General features: G+C 37.4%; 1 protein-coding gene and 1 long non-coding RNA gene across 6 annotated transcripts in view; one reads left to right on the forward strand and one right to left on the reverse strand.

The window, feature by feature from the left end:
* Positions 1–15,648, reverse strand: part of NPSR1-AS1 (NPSR1 antisense RNA 1) — a 487,820-nt gene that overhangs the window by 418,363 nt on the left and 53,809 nt on the right. The window contains exon 2 of the long non-coding RNA NR_015356.2: positions 3,468–3,566. This is a non-coding gene — a long non-coding RNA (NPSR1 antisense RNA 1). The remainder of the gene's footprint in view (positions 1–3,467; positions 3,567–15,648) is intronic.
* Positions 1–15,648, forward strand: part of NPSR1 (neuropeptide S receptor 1) — a 220,115-nt gene that overhangs the window by 106,657 nt on the left and 97,810 nt on the right. For 3 of the 5 annotated variants that reach the window (NM_207173.2, NM_001300935.2, NM_207172.2), the window contains exon 3: positions 13,588–13,691. The exons of 1 other annotated variant lie outside the window; for it this stretch is intronic. In NM_207173.2, coding sequence (NP_997056.1) covers positions 13,588–13,691 — 104 coding nt within the window. The remainder of the gene's footprint in view (positions 1–13,587; positions 13,692–15,648) is intronic. One more of the 5 variants, NM_001300933.2, reaches the window with a different exon arrangement.

A 15,648-nucleotide genomic window follows, 5' to 3' on the forward strand; every position in this document is an offset into this window, starting at 1 on the left:
GCACACTGGCCTATATGGGTCTGTGGCTGAACTGGGACAAAAGAGAAGCCCTAAAACCACCAGTAGCAAGCATTGAGTAACAAGCAGTAGCAGTATTACAGCAAAACAGGCACAGCTGAAAGCAGAGAGTGGGGCATTAAAACCCTTCAGCGTCTCAGCTACTATGCTAATAGAAAATCCAAAGAAAAATCTGAAGCCCATAGGAGGCTGAGGATGACCCTACTAACAACAAAACTCAAGTCTAGCTAGACTCCTAAGCAGATTGATTTAATACCCCACTCTAACAACCTTAAAGAAGTGTGCCCATTTCCATGCATAAATACTATGTATCTCAATATTTGATATACTCTACACAAAATGTTTGCCATTTAATCAAAATGCATGAGACTCAAAAAGAAAATGCAACCCACTGTTAACAGCCAAAGCAATCAACAGAACCAAACAGAGACATGACTCCAATGTTGGAGCTATTAGACACGGACTTTAAATAAAATAATTACAATGAATAAGAAAAATACATTAAAAATACTTCATGAAAGAGGATATATGGATGGCAAAGAAGCACCTTTAAAAGTGTTCAACAGTTTATACACTATTGATGGAAATGTAAATTAGTTCTTCCACTGTTGGAAGCAGTCTGGAGAGTTCTCAAAAAACTTAACTACCATTTGAATTAGCAATCCCATTACTGGGCATATACCCAAACAGAAGAAAACTGTTCTCCCAAAAGGACGCATGCACTCATATATTCATCATAGCACTATGTATATTCACAATACCAAAGACATGGAATCAACCTGAATGCCAATCAATGGATTGGATTAAAAAATGGAATACTATGCAGTCGTAGAAAAGAATGAAATCATGTCTTTACAGCAACTTGGATGCATCTGGAGGCCATTATCCTAAGTGAATTAATGCAGAAACAGAAAACCAAATGCCACATGTTCTCATTTATAAGTGGGAGTTAAACCTTGGATACACATGGACATAAAGATGGCAACAGTAGAGGGGAAAAGGAAGAACTAGAGCAAGGGATGAAAATCCAGCTATTGGGCATTATGCTCAGTACCTGTGTAATGGGATCAATCGTACCCCAAATCTCAGCACCACACAATATACCCATGTAATAAGCCTGCACATGTACCCCCTGAATCTAAATTAAAGTTGAAATCATTTCTAAAAAAAGAAAAGAAAAATGAACAAATTGAAAATAAAAAGATGTTCAACATGATTAGTCATTAGAGAAATGAAAAATAAAGCCATGATGAAATATCACTACATATCTAGTAGAACAACTAAAAGAAAACACACTGACAGTCCTGAGTGCTAGAAAGTGTGTGCAACCACAGTCTCTCTCATACATTGTTGGTGGGAGTACACAGTGGTGCAGCAACATTGGAAAACTGCTGGGCAGTTTTTTATGAAGTTAAACATATATTTACTTACTCTGTGGCCCAACAATTCCACTTCTGAGTATTTGTCCTAGAGAAATGAAAATTTATATTCACACAAAAACCTGTACATGAATGTTTATATCAGCCTTGTTTGAAATAACAAAAAACTGAAAATAACCCAAACATATTTCAGTGAGTGAATAAACATATTGTAATACATTTATACAATTTAAAACTATTCGGCAATAAGAACAAACAAATGATACACACACCTTAGAAGAATTTCAAAGGCATTATGATGAATTATTTTTTTTTTTTTGAGATGGAGTCTCACTCTGTTTCCCAGGCTGGAGTGCAGTGGCGCAACCTCAGCTCACTGCAAGCTCCGCCTCCTGGGTTCACGCCATTCTCCTGCCTCAGCCTCCCGAGTAGCTGGGATTACAGGCGCCAGCCACCACGCCCGGCTAATTTTTTTGTATTTTTAGTAGAGACGGGGTTTCACTGTGTTAGCCAGGATGGTCTCGATCTCCCGACCTCGTGATCCACCCGCCTCGGCCTCCCAAAGTGCTGGGATTACAGGTGTGAGCCACCGTGCCCGGCCTATGATGAATTTTTTAAAGCTAATTTTTAAAGGTTGCATATTTTGTAATTCCATTTACGTAAGATTCTTAAAATCACAAAACTATAATGATAAAGAACACATTAGTGTTTGCTAGGAAATGGGTGGGTAGGGAGTGTGGCTATAAAGGGATAGCACAAGGGAATTTCTCGACAGTTGTAGAACTGTTCTCTATCCCGACTGTGGTGTTAGTGACATGACCTTATATGTATGTGAGATTAAATTTCATTGATATATGACATGCTTGTAAAAATTGGTGATGTGCAAATAATTCTATAGTTTAGTTAACAGTATTATACCAATGTCAATTTCCTGGTTTTCATCATTATACTGATATTGACCAGGTAGAGCGTACATGGGAAACTTCTGTCTTATTTTTGCAACTTTAATATGGGTCTTAAATGATTTCAAAATAAACACTTTAAAACATTCTCCCTACTAAATAACCATGATTAATAGGTTAAAGTTTCCAGGGGAAAAAAGTGGACAACATAGATGAACAGTTGAGTGATTTCACAGAAAGATAAAAACTATAAGCAAGATTCAAGTAGAAATGTGTGGGGGAAATAAATCACAATAGTAATTCACAGATTTAATTCTAGGAATCGTAGACTTTACACAGCCAGAGGAAGAATTAGGTAATCTGAAGATAGATCCATAAAAATTGCCCAAAGTGAAAATCAGTAAGAAAAGGACAAAGAAAGTGGATGAGGAGAACAAAGTATTTAAAAATGATGGGACAATATCAAATAGTCTAAAATATATGTCATTGAAGTTACAGAAGGAGAAGAGAGAATGGGCAAAAGAAATCTCTGAATGATAGCTGGAATTCTCCAAAAATAATGAAAGCATCAAATCATAGATCCAAAATTCTTAAATAACCTGAAGCAGAATAAATTTTAAAAAGCTAGCTATAACTTATCCAAAGTACCAAATAAAGGTAAAGAAGAAATTGAAGGAAGACAGTGGAAAATATATGAACATATTAAATCAGAGAAATTCTTAAAGAATACAAAATTACAGCTAGATAGAACTAGAATAAGTTCTAGTGTTCCATATTACTGTAGAATTACTATAGTTAACAATAATATATGGTTTCACATAACTAAAAGAATATTGCATGATCCTCACAAAAAAATGATAAATGCTAGAGATGATAGATATGCCAGTTATACTCTGATAACTATATGTACTGAGACATCACCATGTAGCCCCATGAATATGTACACTTATTTTGTCATTTTAAAAATTAAATTAATATAAAGAGGTAAAGACAAGAATTATAGCTGACTTCTTATCTGAAGCAATTAAAGCCAGATGATAAAACATATCTTCAAAGCCAGCTGGGGGGACAACTATCACCCAGAATTCTACATCTAGCAAAAATACCTGTTTAAAATGAAGATACAATAAGGACTATTCAAAATTTTTGTAATGGGAGAATTCCTTACCAGCAGACCTGTACTTTAAGAAACATTAAAGAAAGTTCTTCTGACAGAGGAATGTGAAACCAGACCGGAAATTTTATCTACAGAGAGATGTGAAGAACTCTGAAAATAGTAAAAATAAAGATTAATATTAAAAGCCACATTTTTCTTAATGTTAAATGACTCTAAAATGTAATTGACTACTTGAAGAAAAATTGTAGCAGTGAGATTTATAACCCATGTAAAATTTAAATGTCTGATAACAATAGCACAAAGTTTATGAGGAATTTGAATGTCTAAGTCTTCACAATATGTAAGAATTTGTATAATATTATATAAAACATCTAATACTCAGTCTTTACTTGCTGCAGGGAAGATCAATTTGGCAGGTCCAGCACTGGAATTACCATTTAGATTAGTTAGGAAACTGCGGAAGTTCAAGAAAGAAATCATCAGTACCTAGAGTATGCCAAATAATAGTAAGAATACAGAGAGGATTCAAATTTGAGATCTACTTAATAAGGTAAAATAAGGAGGATGCGGTGACTGAGTATTGAGATGTTCTGAATGTGAGGTAGAGGGAAGAGTCTACTATGTATTATGGGTTCCTGGCTTGGGTGTCCCTAGCAGACAGTGGTGCTATCAAGTGAGTCTGAGGAGAGAGGAGGATAGGATCATTAATATGAAAAGTTAATGAGTTTGGATTTTAACTGGGGTTTCAGGCAATTTACATGTAATGTTATTATTGATGTGTTTGGATTGAAATCTACCACTGGTTTCTTGCTTTTATTTGTTCCATCTATATTTTTCTTCCTTTTTTCCTTCTATTTCAGCCTGGATTAATTGAGCTTTTTATGATTTCATTTTGTCTCCACTATTGGCTTATTAATTATGCCTCTTTTTCTATTTCTTTTAATGTTGTCCTAGGCTTCACAATGTACATCCTCTCTACATTCCTACAGTTATTTAACATACGTTTCTTCCTTGAACTTCTGCATAGTTTCCTAATTAAATGGTAATTCCAGTATTGGACCTAACAAATTGATCCTCACCACAGCAACTAAAGAAATCTATTTATAATACATGTTTGGAGACATAAACATTCAACAACTCTCACAGTATAAAAAAATACATCCTCTTTTAATTGGCATGTGAGACCCAGAAGTCTGGATTCTTCTTGTTTCTGCAGACCCATTTTTGCCACTTCCTAGCTCCTATTTAGGCTTCAGCAATAACAAACAGATGCTTAATATACACAAGCCAAGTAGTTTCTCATCTCCATAACTTTGTTCATGCTGTTATATGTGCCTAGAATCAATATTCTGCATTCCTTTCTCACCTGACCAATCCTCACTGAAAAGCTCAGCTATTGCCCCATTCTTGACTTCTTCCTTGTCCACCCGCTTTTGTGCTCCAACTGGAACCCCATTCATGTTTACAAGAAACACTCAAAGGACAATAAAGCCTGTTGTGACTCTACTTCGGCTTTTCTGAGTATTAAAATTTCCTAAGATCTTTCACAGGACAAATTTTTAAAAGCAAGAGTAATACATGGAGGTGATTAAGCCTTTAAAGTGTACCCTTTGTTCCCAAGGTCTTGTTAATTATCATTTAGGAGCAGTTTATCTGCAATGTGCTCAATTACTTAGGTAACTAAATAGCTTTTTACTGATCAGCATTGAACATCATTTGCTTAATAGCAACTAACAAATGCGGTGGCAGAATTCCACTGATAGTCTACTTTCAGAAATAGGCTTATTTAAGATTGAGCTCCAGGGGAAAAATAGATTCTAACAGAATAGATTATTGTTATTTACATAACCACTTAGGTCTAGAGAAACAAAATAATCTTTCCGTTTTTTAAAATTAAGGAATCAGTAAGCCAAAAGAGAATATCCAAGTAACTCCCAAGTCCATTCCGTTCATTCATCCAGTCCATTTGTGCCATGAAAATCTTCATGACATTCCTATTTGATCAATCACAACTCACAGCTCTCAATGACTGCTCACATCTGACCTTCTCAGTAAGGACTTTTCTTATAGCTTAGAACAGTCATAGGATTTTTCCTCTCCAAGCTTTTGACACTTTGGATTATAGATCCCATGTGCTTGCCAATGCTTTTTTTGTTAACTGTAGAAAAATAAAAAGCAAATACAGACAGGCGAAAGACTCAGAGGGTCACATAACATTGTATGGTGAACTATACCATGTGAATGGTCAAGGAAAGCTTCTGGAGCATGGGACATATTAGCTAGGTGTTGAAAGAAAAATAGGAATTCAATAGGCTGGAAAATGGGGGGAGGGTATTTCAAGCAGAGGGAACACCTATCTAGATGCACAAATGTATGATCAATATGGTGTTCAACATTGAAATGCCACATGGGGACCTGACAAGAGGTAGTTGTATTAGTTTGTTTTGTGCTGCTGTGATGGAATGCCACAGACTGTATAATTTATAAACAGAAATTTATTAGGACACAGTTCTGGAGGCTGGGAAGTCTAAGGTCCAGGTGCCAGAAAGTTCAGTGTCTGGTTAGGTCATTCTCTTCCAAGATGGTGCCTTGCATGCTGCCTAGATCCTCACGTGGCAGAAGGCCAAAGGGAGAAAGAGGATGAGCCCATTCACTTTTTATAATGGCATTAATCTATTCATGAGGGCTCAACCTAAATGCTTCCCATTAGGCCCCACTGTCACATTGGGAATTAAGTTTCCAACACACCAATTCTTGGGCACACATTCAAACTGTAGCAGTAGGCAAAGCCAAATAGTGGAAGGCTTTTATTCTAAGCTGTGGGACTCAGCTTTATTCTGTTAACAGTGAAGATGCAGAAAGGGCGAGATGCAGTGGCTCATACCTGTAATCCTAGCACTTTGAGAGGTTGAAGTGAGTGGATCACTTGAGCCCGGGAGTTCAAGACCAGCCTGGGCAACATAGTGAGATCCCGTCTCTATGAAAATTTTTAAAAAGTAAAAGTTAGCTAGGTGTGGTGTCACGTACTGTTCCCAACTACTCAGGAGGCTGAGGCAAGAGGATCACTTGATCCTGGGAAGTTGAGGCTGCAATAAGCCATGATCACACCACTGCACTCCAGCCTGAGTGACAGCAATACCCTGTACCACTTCCCCACCAAAAAAGATGCACAAAAGGGAGATTTATCTCCCTAGTTTTCTAAAGGAGCAAAAGCAACTTCTGTGGGTGGAATAGCCCTATAAGTAGAAGGGGCCAAAAGATAAAAAGGGCAACCAAAGAAGGGAATGAGGGGATGAGAAGAAGACAGGGACTCATATCTGCACATTAGTCTAGGGAATAAAGAAGAAAAGACACAACATCAATCTAAAAAGAAATAAATGAAAACAATAAAAGGCAGTGTTGAAGGCAGTCGAGCACTGACTTCTATAGTATGGGTTAAAGCCCAGCTTCACCTCTAACTTTCTCTGAAATCTTAAAATGTTCTAACCTTTCTTATTTTGTTCATCTATAAAATGGAGATTTTATCTCAGTTTGTTGTGAGATTAAACAAGTTAATGATTCTAACTACTTAGAACCTTGCCAAGGATATAATAACTGCTTAATAACCCCTCACAATCATGTTCTGTGTTCTAGAGAAGTCAGGTTAAGGGTAGTAATTCTCTTTTAAACCATGAAGTCTACCTAGAGTTATGTAGGATGTCACCATTGGGGGATGCTTTGCGGTAGGCACATGAAACCTTTCTGTACCATTTATTGTAACATCTTGTGAGTCTCTAATTATTTCAAAATAAAAGTTTTATTTTGTTTTGTTTTTCTTAAAGCCTTTTCAAACCACAATGGCAATTCATTCAAGCATGTTCTCAGCACTTGCTGCATGCCATACCCTGAGCTCCTTCTGTTCTAACATTAGTAAACCTCATTTTCCAATATTCAGAAAGCAATTAACCAAATGACAGTGTGACTTTCCATTTTTACTATTGCTCTTTAGCAGAAACATAGCAATAAAAATAAACTATTGGAAATGAAATTATGAGTATCCTAGATTAATCCCCAAAGTTGCAGTTTCTTTTGTTGTTCAGCTGTTTGATTTTCTAAGAGCCTGAACCCAGCCAAGTGCATACTCTATTTCTGAGCAGAGTTCTGCCCAGTTCTCTGTCTGACTAGAATTGCACAGAAACCACAAATCTCTCATAAAGCCTAATGGTGTTTCTCAACAGAGGCATGATTGGAATTCTGAGCTGGATAATTTAATACTAGGGTACAGCCCATGGGTAGTACAGAAAAGAGTCAATACTTGCCTTGTCTTTGTACAACCAGGATGTATGTCTGCATGACAATAATGAAGACTCAATTTCAGCCCCCATTCACCCTTCCACAACAGCAGGGGCAGGGCACCCTAGAGCATAAATAATCTGAACAACCCTGTGTTGGGGGCCTGCTGAAGATGCTTAACATCCCTGGCCCCATCCACTAATTGTCTGCCATCAATCACAACTTGACAGTTACAAGTAAATTGCCTGTGTTCTCCCCATATGCCTGCCTTTCTCATTGTGTAAAAACAGCTCTACCTCCATCTGCTAGTCACTACCAATCACTCTTGCCAAGATGGTGACTCCTCTTCTTGCCTGCTAGTCCCTAGACACAAAGAGTCCAAAGTGCCCTGGTGGCAGCCATAGCTTTTAGTTCAATGGTACCTTTGCTATGTTCCCTGGCAGAAGTACACTTCCTTTGGTGACCAGGACCTCCAAGTTGAAGAGCACAGAGGTGCAGATGAAGAAGTGCAAAGCCCGTTAGTGGGTCAATGGGAGTGATGTTAACTTAGGCCATTTCTTCCTGTACCCCTTGATTCTAAGACCTATGTATACTTCCTGTTAGGGACCCAACACCATGAAGTGGGCTCTGATTTAACACATATGCTGCACTTTAAAGGATGGGACCCTAAACTTTCAGAGCATTACCTTTAAGTGGCACTTCATATGTTCCTTCAGTAGTTCATTCTAGGGCTCTAAAAGTACAGCTACTTCTGTCTGGTGAAGTATGTAATACAAACAGTAGGTTCTAGGATCAAGAGCTATCCTACACCCCCTTCACAATTAAGTGGGTCCCCTGATCACATACTATGTTGTGGGATTTCCATTCTTGTTTGGTAATCTAAAAGCCCCCAGATAACAGTTAGCTGTGTTGACTATGACTCAGAGATCAGGAAAGGAAAGCTTATACCCAGAATAAGTGCATCATTGGAAGGATGGACAGCTGGCTGATGCAGGACAGAGGGGAACCAATGTAGTCAACTTGCCACAAATCAACCAGTCGAATCTCCTGAAGACCTAGTAACCTATTGAGGGCTCCTTGTTGGTCTCTCTTGTTAGCAAGTTGGACATTCAAAATCAGCAGTAGCTAGATTTACCAGGATAATTGGTAGTCCATTTTATTGGCTAATGAGTAGTCTTGCTCTCTGCCACTGTGGCCACTCGATTCATGTGCCCATCATGCCAGTACTTAATCCAAAGACAAAGCCTGGATAATGTCAACTGGACAAGTTATCTTGTCTATTTGTTTTTTCAGTGCTTCTTGTGTACTTGATGCTTTCCAATTAGTGTTAAACGCATGACACAAAAATCTTCACACATTGTGCCCACTCCCATAGTCCCAACCACATGTCTCTGTCTCAGACTCTTGTTTCCAATCTCCAAGTCCCTTTCATTCAGGTCCCTGTCCACACAGCTAGACTATTGGCTACTGTGCAGAAACCTATACATATATTCACACCTTAGGCCAATTTTTCTTCCACACGAATAGATAACCATATTCATTGCTTGCAGCTTCATTCATTGGGAAGACCTTCCTTCTCCACTGTCTTCCAAGGCTACCCCATAATTCAGCTGTACTTCAGTGATCATCTATTTTTGCTTTACAGCTACTTAAGGAACTAACCCATTGTCAGCCAGGATTGGCCTTTTACCTCCCTTTCAGCTAGTCATAGAGAACCCCCATATAGCCATAAGTGTGAGCTATGCAAGGGCACTGGTACAACCCTGGTGGGTGACATGGAGGCATCTGTGCTACTTGCTCATGCAGCCTCTTCATGCCAGTCTAGTCCCATATGGGTTTGATCCCAGATGTGCCATTTCCATTTTCCAATAGAAGGCTGTGGGACACGTCTGAGTGTATGACTTAGTGCATTGGCAATAATCTAGCTCATAATGGTCAGTTCCAAATACATTTGGTGCCCCATTATCAGCTGTTCCATCTTGACCAAGGCTCAGCAACATTCTAGGAAGGGTTTCTCAAAAGGTGTATAACTTTGTACTGAAAATGGATGGCATTGCTTCAGAGCCCTAGGGGCCTGCATTCTGATTCTTTCGCTTGGGCATCCATCAACTCCAAACTGTATCTTTCCCCACTAACACATTCAGCACCATGGGGTCCACCAGATCATATGCCTCAAGTAGTAGGGTTGCTTATACTGCAGCCCATACATGCTGCAGAGCCCTTTCTTGCTTTCTTGCTCCAGGCCCACTCAAAGCTGTGAGACTTCTATGTAGTTCAGTATATGGGACCAAAAATATTCCTAGATGTGGAATGTGTTGCCTCCAAAACACAAAGAGGCCTACCAGGTATCTTGCTCTATTTATTGAGATTGAGAATGTAAGATACAGCAATTTAACTTTTACTTGAAAATGCAGTGGTGGGAGTGGTATTCTAGCAGACTTTCACTACTGAACCACTAAAAACTTTACCGATGTGGCATGTTCCTGAATTTTCACAGGGTTTGTCTCTCACCCTCCAGAGTGTATGTGTCCTACCAATGCCTCTAATGTATTAGACACTTCTTGTTGACTCTTAATGACATCTTTGATGTAAATGGATCAATGTGATATTCTACAGAATGTTCAGATGGTCCATGTCTCTTCAGACCTTATTATGACAGATGTTTGAAGAGGTAACATAGCCATGGGCAAAGCAGAAAACGAATATTATTGTCTGTTTCATGTGAATACAGACTCTGATTTTTTGGATGTGTCTTTGTCTGGTTTTGGTATCAGGATAATATTGGCCTCGTAGAATGAGTTTGGAAGTATTCCCTCCTCCTCTATTTTTCAGAATAGTTTGAGTAAGATGATATTAGTTCTTCATTAAATGTTTGGTATAATTCAGCAGAGAAGCCATCAGTTCCTGAACTTTTCTTTATTGGAAGACATTTTATTATAAGTTCTTGTTATTTGTTATTGGTCATAGTTCAATCTTGGTACATTGTATGCATCTAGGAATTTGTTCCTTTCTTCTGTAATTTCCAATTTATTTACAATTTATTTATTTGAGTCTTCTCTCTTCTTTATTAGTCTGGCTAAAGGTTTGTCAATTTTGCATGACATTTCAAAAATCCAACTTTTTGTTTCATTGATATTTTGTATTGTTTTCTTCATCTCAATTTCATTTATTTCTGCTCTGATATTTATTATTTATTTTCTGCTACTAATTTTGAGTTTGTTATGCTCTTCCTTTTCTAGTTCTTTAAGATGCATCATTAAGTTGTTTATTTAAAGTTTATCTTCTTTTTCAATGAAGGTACTAATAGCCATAAACTTCCCTCTTAGTGATTTTGCTGTATCCCATAGATTTTGGTATGTTGTGTTTCTATTATCATTTGTTTCAAGAAACTTTTAAATTTTCTTCTTAATTTCTTCATTGACCCACCAGTCATTCAGGAGCATATGGTTTGATTTCCATGTATTTGTATAGTTTCCAAAATTCCTCTTGTTATTGATTTCTAGTTTTATTCCATTATGGTCAGAGATGATGCTTCATATTATATTATTTTATTTTGTTTTAATGTTTTCAGGCTTTTTAGTGATTTAACATATAGTCTACTCTTGAGAATGACCCATGTGCTGTGGAAAATAATGTGTATTCTACAGCTGTTGTTTGGTCTATAGCGCAGATTAACTCTCGTGTTTCTTTACCAATTTTCTGTCTGGAAGATCTGTCCAATGGTGAAATTGTGGTGTTGAAGTCTCCAGCTATTATTGTATGGGGTCTATATCTCTCTTTAGCTCTAACAATATTTAATTTATATGTCTGGGTGTTCCAGTGTTGGGTGCATATATATTTACAATTGTTATATTCTCTTGCTGAATTGACCCCTTTTTCACTATATAGTAACCTTCTTTATCTCTTCCTATAGTTTTTGTCTTGAAATCTATTTTGCCTGATATAAGCATAACTAGCCCTGCTCTTTTGTGGTTTCCATTGACATGGAATATCTTTTCCCATCCCTTTATTTTCCGCCTACATATGCCTTATGTCTTTATTGGTGAAGTGTGTTTCTTGTAAGCAACAGATCATTGAATCCCTTTTGTTTTTTCAATCCGTTCAGCCACTTGGTGACTTTTGATTGGCAAGTCTCAGAGTCTCATCCAAAGTCTTCAATGTACCTGGGTATTGCTGCTGGTTATTCTGAGCCCAGGGACTCTTTAGTTAGCAGGTGATGAATGTTGCCAGGACTATGTCCTTCCCTTCAAGGCAGTAGTTTCCCTTCTGGCCTAGGGCATGTCTAGAAATGCCATCCAGGAGCTAGAGCTTGGAAAGGCGGCCTCTCAGAGCTGACTAGTGCCCTCTCCTGTTGTGACTGTGCTGGTATCCAAGATGTAAGACAAAATCCTTCCTACTCCTTCCTTCTCCTTCTTCTCCTTTCCTTAAGTGGAAGAAAGAGACCTCTTTTGGAGCTGTGAGAATTGCAGCCTGGGGTTAGGGGAGGGGTAGTGCCAGAACTCCCTTAGCCACCCAAGCTGGTATCTCAGTAGTCCATGTGCCTCCCCAGTGTACTGGCTCTGGGCCCAGTTCAGAACTAGAACTTGCTTGAAAGTTGCACTCCTTGTGGCCTAGACTGACTTTCAAGTGTATTTAGAGCCCTAGAGCACTTTAGCTTGCAGTGGTAAGGCTTGTGGGAACTCAAGTTCTGACCACCAGGATTGGTGATTTCCTTTTGGCTAGAGCTAATATAAATGCTGTCTCCATGGGGTGGGGCATCAGCTGAGTTTGGCCCAGTTTTCTTTTATGCTATAATAGGACAGCACTAAGTTCAATGCCTCACAATTGCTGTGCTTTTCTCCCCTGGCACCTAGGAATGCTCTCCACACCCTGCTGCCATTGGTGGGGGATGGGAGAGGGGTGGCGTCAGAGATTTAAAACTGTTTTTTTTTTTTTTCTACTTCTTCAGTGCCTCTTTCAGCAATATGAAGTTAAAACCAAGCACTATGAGAGCTCACCTGATTTTTGGTGCTTACAAAGCTACTTTTTTTGTGTGTAGATAGTTGCTAAATTAGTGTCCTTGCTGAGGGAGGAAGAGGGAACGATCAGTGGAACCTTCTATTCTGCAACCTTGCCTGCAGCACTCTTTTGAGAAAGATTCTGGATTACGTGATAAATTAGTGATGTCTGTCATGGAGGGGTGAGGGGCAGTTTTTAGACATATAGCCTATCTTGCCATTTCTGCTATAAACATCTGCACAGCTTGTACAATCTGTAACTATAGAATTGAGTACAGATGACCTGCCCACAAGAGGAAAAATGTCCTGATCTTGGCCTTAGTGCCTCTGTAATTCAACCAAGTATATTAATTAAATGGATAGATCATACACTTGCTGTTTCCCAAGTGTAGAGGTTGAAAGTGGAAAGGAGAAGAAAGCAAAGAAAACTGGGAGGAGGGGCACTAAGACTGGGCATAAGGAGAAACAAGAGGTCCAATTTGCAAAATAATGGGTGTAGTAAGGGGAATTTTGAAGTATTCTCCAAAGATAACGATTTTGCTTTTCTCAATTTTGTCCTCTTGATTCTCACACAGTGCTTTCTTTAGTACAGACCTACATACCCCGAAAACTTCTGTTCTGTGACTTAAAAAGTCAACTCTATGATTAGCATGATTCCTCTTCAGTCATTACTGAAATTCTTCCTAGGTGGTTACATTTAAGTGGTAAGAAGCTTCAGTAATATAAGTCAAAGAACTCCTACCTTGCTTTGCATTTCCTCAGTGGCCATCTGATAAAGCAGGAAGGAAAAAAATTAAAAATGAACCTCCCCAGGATTTCATTTCTATTGTGGCTTAGCTGCAAATTTGAAAAATAAAAATAAAAATAAACCCTGAATGTAAGCACTTGTACGTTTTTGTTAGATTCTTTCACAGGACTGGTCAACATCTTGACAGATATTAATTGGCGATTCACTGGAGACTTCACGGCACCTGACCTGGTTTGCCGAGTGGTCCGCTATTTGCAGGTATGTCACACCTTCCAAATGTGATGAGACAAACTGATACCAGAGTTAGCTTTTAGATTTATCTAAGGAAAATCATATAAAACCTTGCATTCCTATGCATCAAACTGCCCGCTTTCTCCTGGGTAGAAGGGCAATGAAAATTTGATTTTTAATGTATTTCCTTTGCTAAAAATAGTATCTATATAAAGAAAACACAAACGAGCCACAAATGAGCAATGCTAAGGACATAAAGCATTCATATTTCAAATGTTAAATAAAATGTCTGGGTCAATATTAAGGATTTTGGCATATTGTGGATAATCTCCAAAAAGTTTGTTAATTATATTTACCTTTCACTTCTCAAATGAACTCAACGCTGGCTACTGCTCTTTTTTGTAAACCAAGGGGAATTTGTTGGAACATAACCATTAACTATTGAATTACTGCCTAAATTATACTTTTTAAAGTATCTATTGGCATTTGAATTTCTTCCTCTCAAATTTCCTATTTTCCTTTTTGAATGATTTTATAACTGAGAGACTTTTTAGTTTTTCTAAGATCTATTTTTAGATTAAAGATATTGATGCTTCAAATGTCAATCTGCTTCATTGTAAGCCATATTTATGTATCATATGTATATTTGATTTAAAATATTACATATATACATATTTACATATATACATACTTGTTAATATGCATTAGATGTTTATAATATAGATTTAGACACTTCAACTAAGTCTGGAAGGAATGGATTATTTCATAACTGGTATTAGGTTTGATGTGCTGTTTCTGAGTTCTTAAGATTATTTTTTATTAATATATTTTTATTCTGATGCTAGTACTTCAGGTCTAAATTATTATAGCTTTATGTATATATAATGCATTTCTAGAAAGCTTTATCCTGCTAGATTCCATTTGTTAGTAGACTCTTTTAGGATCTTTGTATATATATTCATAAGTAAAATTTTAATTTTTTTCATTGGTTTTATTATTTTCAGGTCATGGTAATGAAGTTATTCCATATTCAGAAAATGAATATGGAATAGTTACAATCTTCTTTTGTGCTCTGAATATAACCTTGAAAGTTTGGTATGTCTGAAAGAGCCTTTTCTATTATGTACGGCTAGTATTTTCTCAGGGGAAATTTTTAAAAACATATTTCAATTTCTTTCTGAGGATATTTGCTTCCTTGTAAATAAATGCTTTCAATTGCTTATTATATTAGCAATCAATTGCTGATACACAAATTATGACAAAACATGGTGGCTTAAAACAATAAACATTTATTATCTCACAGTTTCTATTAGTCAAGAATTCAGGAACAGCTTGGCTAGGCAGATCTGGATAAAGGCTTATCAAAAGGTTCGGTCAGATGCTTTGTGGTACTGTAGTCATCAGAACGCTTGGCTGGGACTGGACAAGATGGATCACTCACATAGGTGGTAAATTAGTACTGGCTTTAGTGGAATACTCAGTTCTCCACATGGGCCTCTCTATAGGTACATTTTAGTGTCCTCACAACATAGTAGCTGGCTTTTCCAAGAATAACCTATTCAAGTGACTGAGGTGGAAGTGGCAACATATTTATGAACTAGTCTCAAAGGTCATACACCATCACTTTCATATGATTATTTTGGTTGTACAAATCAACTTGGATTCAGTATGGGAAAAGAAGAACCACAAAACTAGGAAGTAAGGATTATTTTCGACATGTTGGAGGTTGGCAACCACACTATCTTCATATTTTTCCAAAGCATTTGATAACCTATGGTTTCTCCCAATTGTTAACTTTAAAATGTCTTCTTGATTTAGAAATATTCATGTCAGTAAAATTTTTTCTAACTGTATCTACAATAAATGTTAAGACTATATATAAAATATATCTTTTGACATAGGGAAAACGATAGAGAAAGAAATTCTGATAATTCTCTCTTCTATAAAGGAAGCAAGAAAATTGGCAAAAAATATCAGAATCAAA

The sequence above is a fragment of the Homo sapiens genome, chromosome 7 (genome assembly GCF_000001405.40).
Source record: "Homo sapiens chromosome 7, GRCh38.p14 Primary Assembly".
In the NCBI taxonomy this organism is placed as follows: Eukaryota; Metazoa; Chordata; class Mammalia; order Primates; family Hominidae; genus Homo; species Homo sapiens.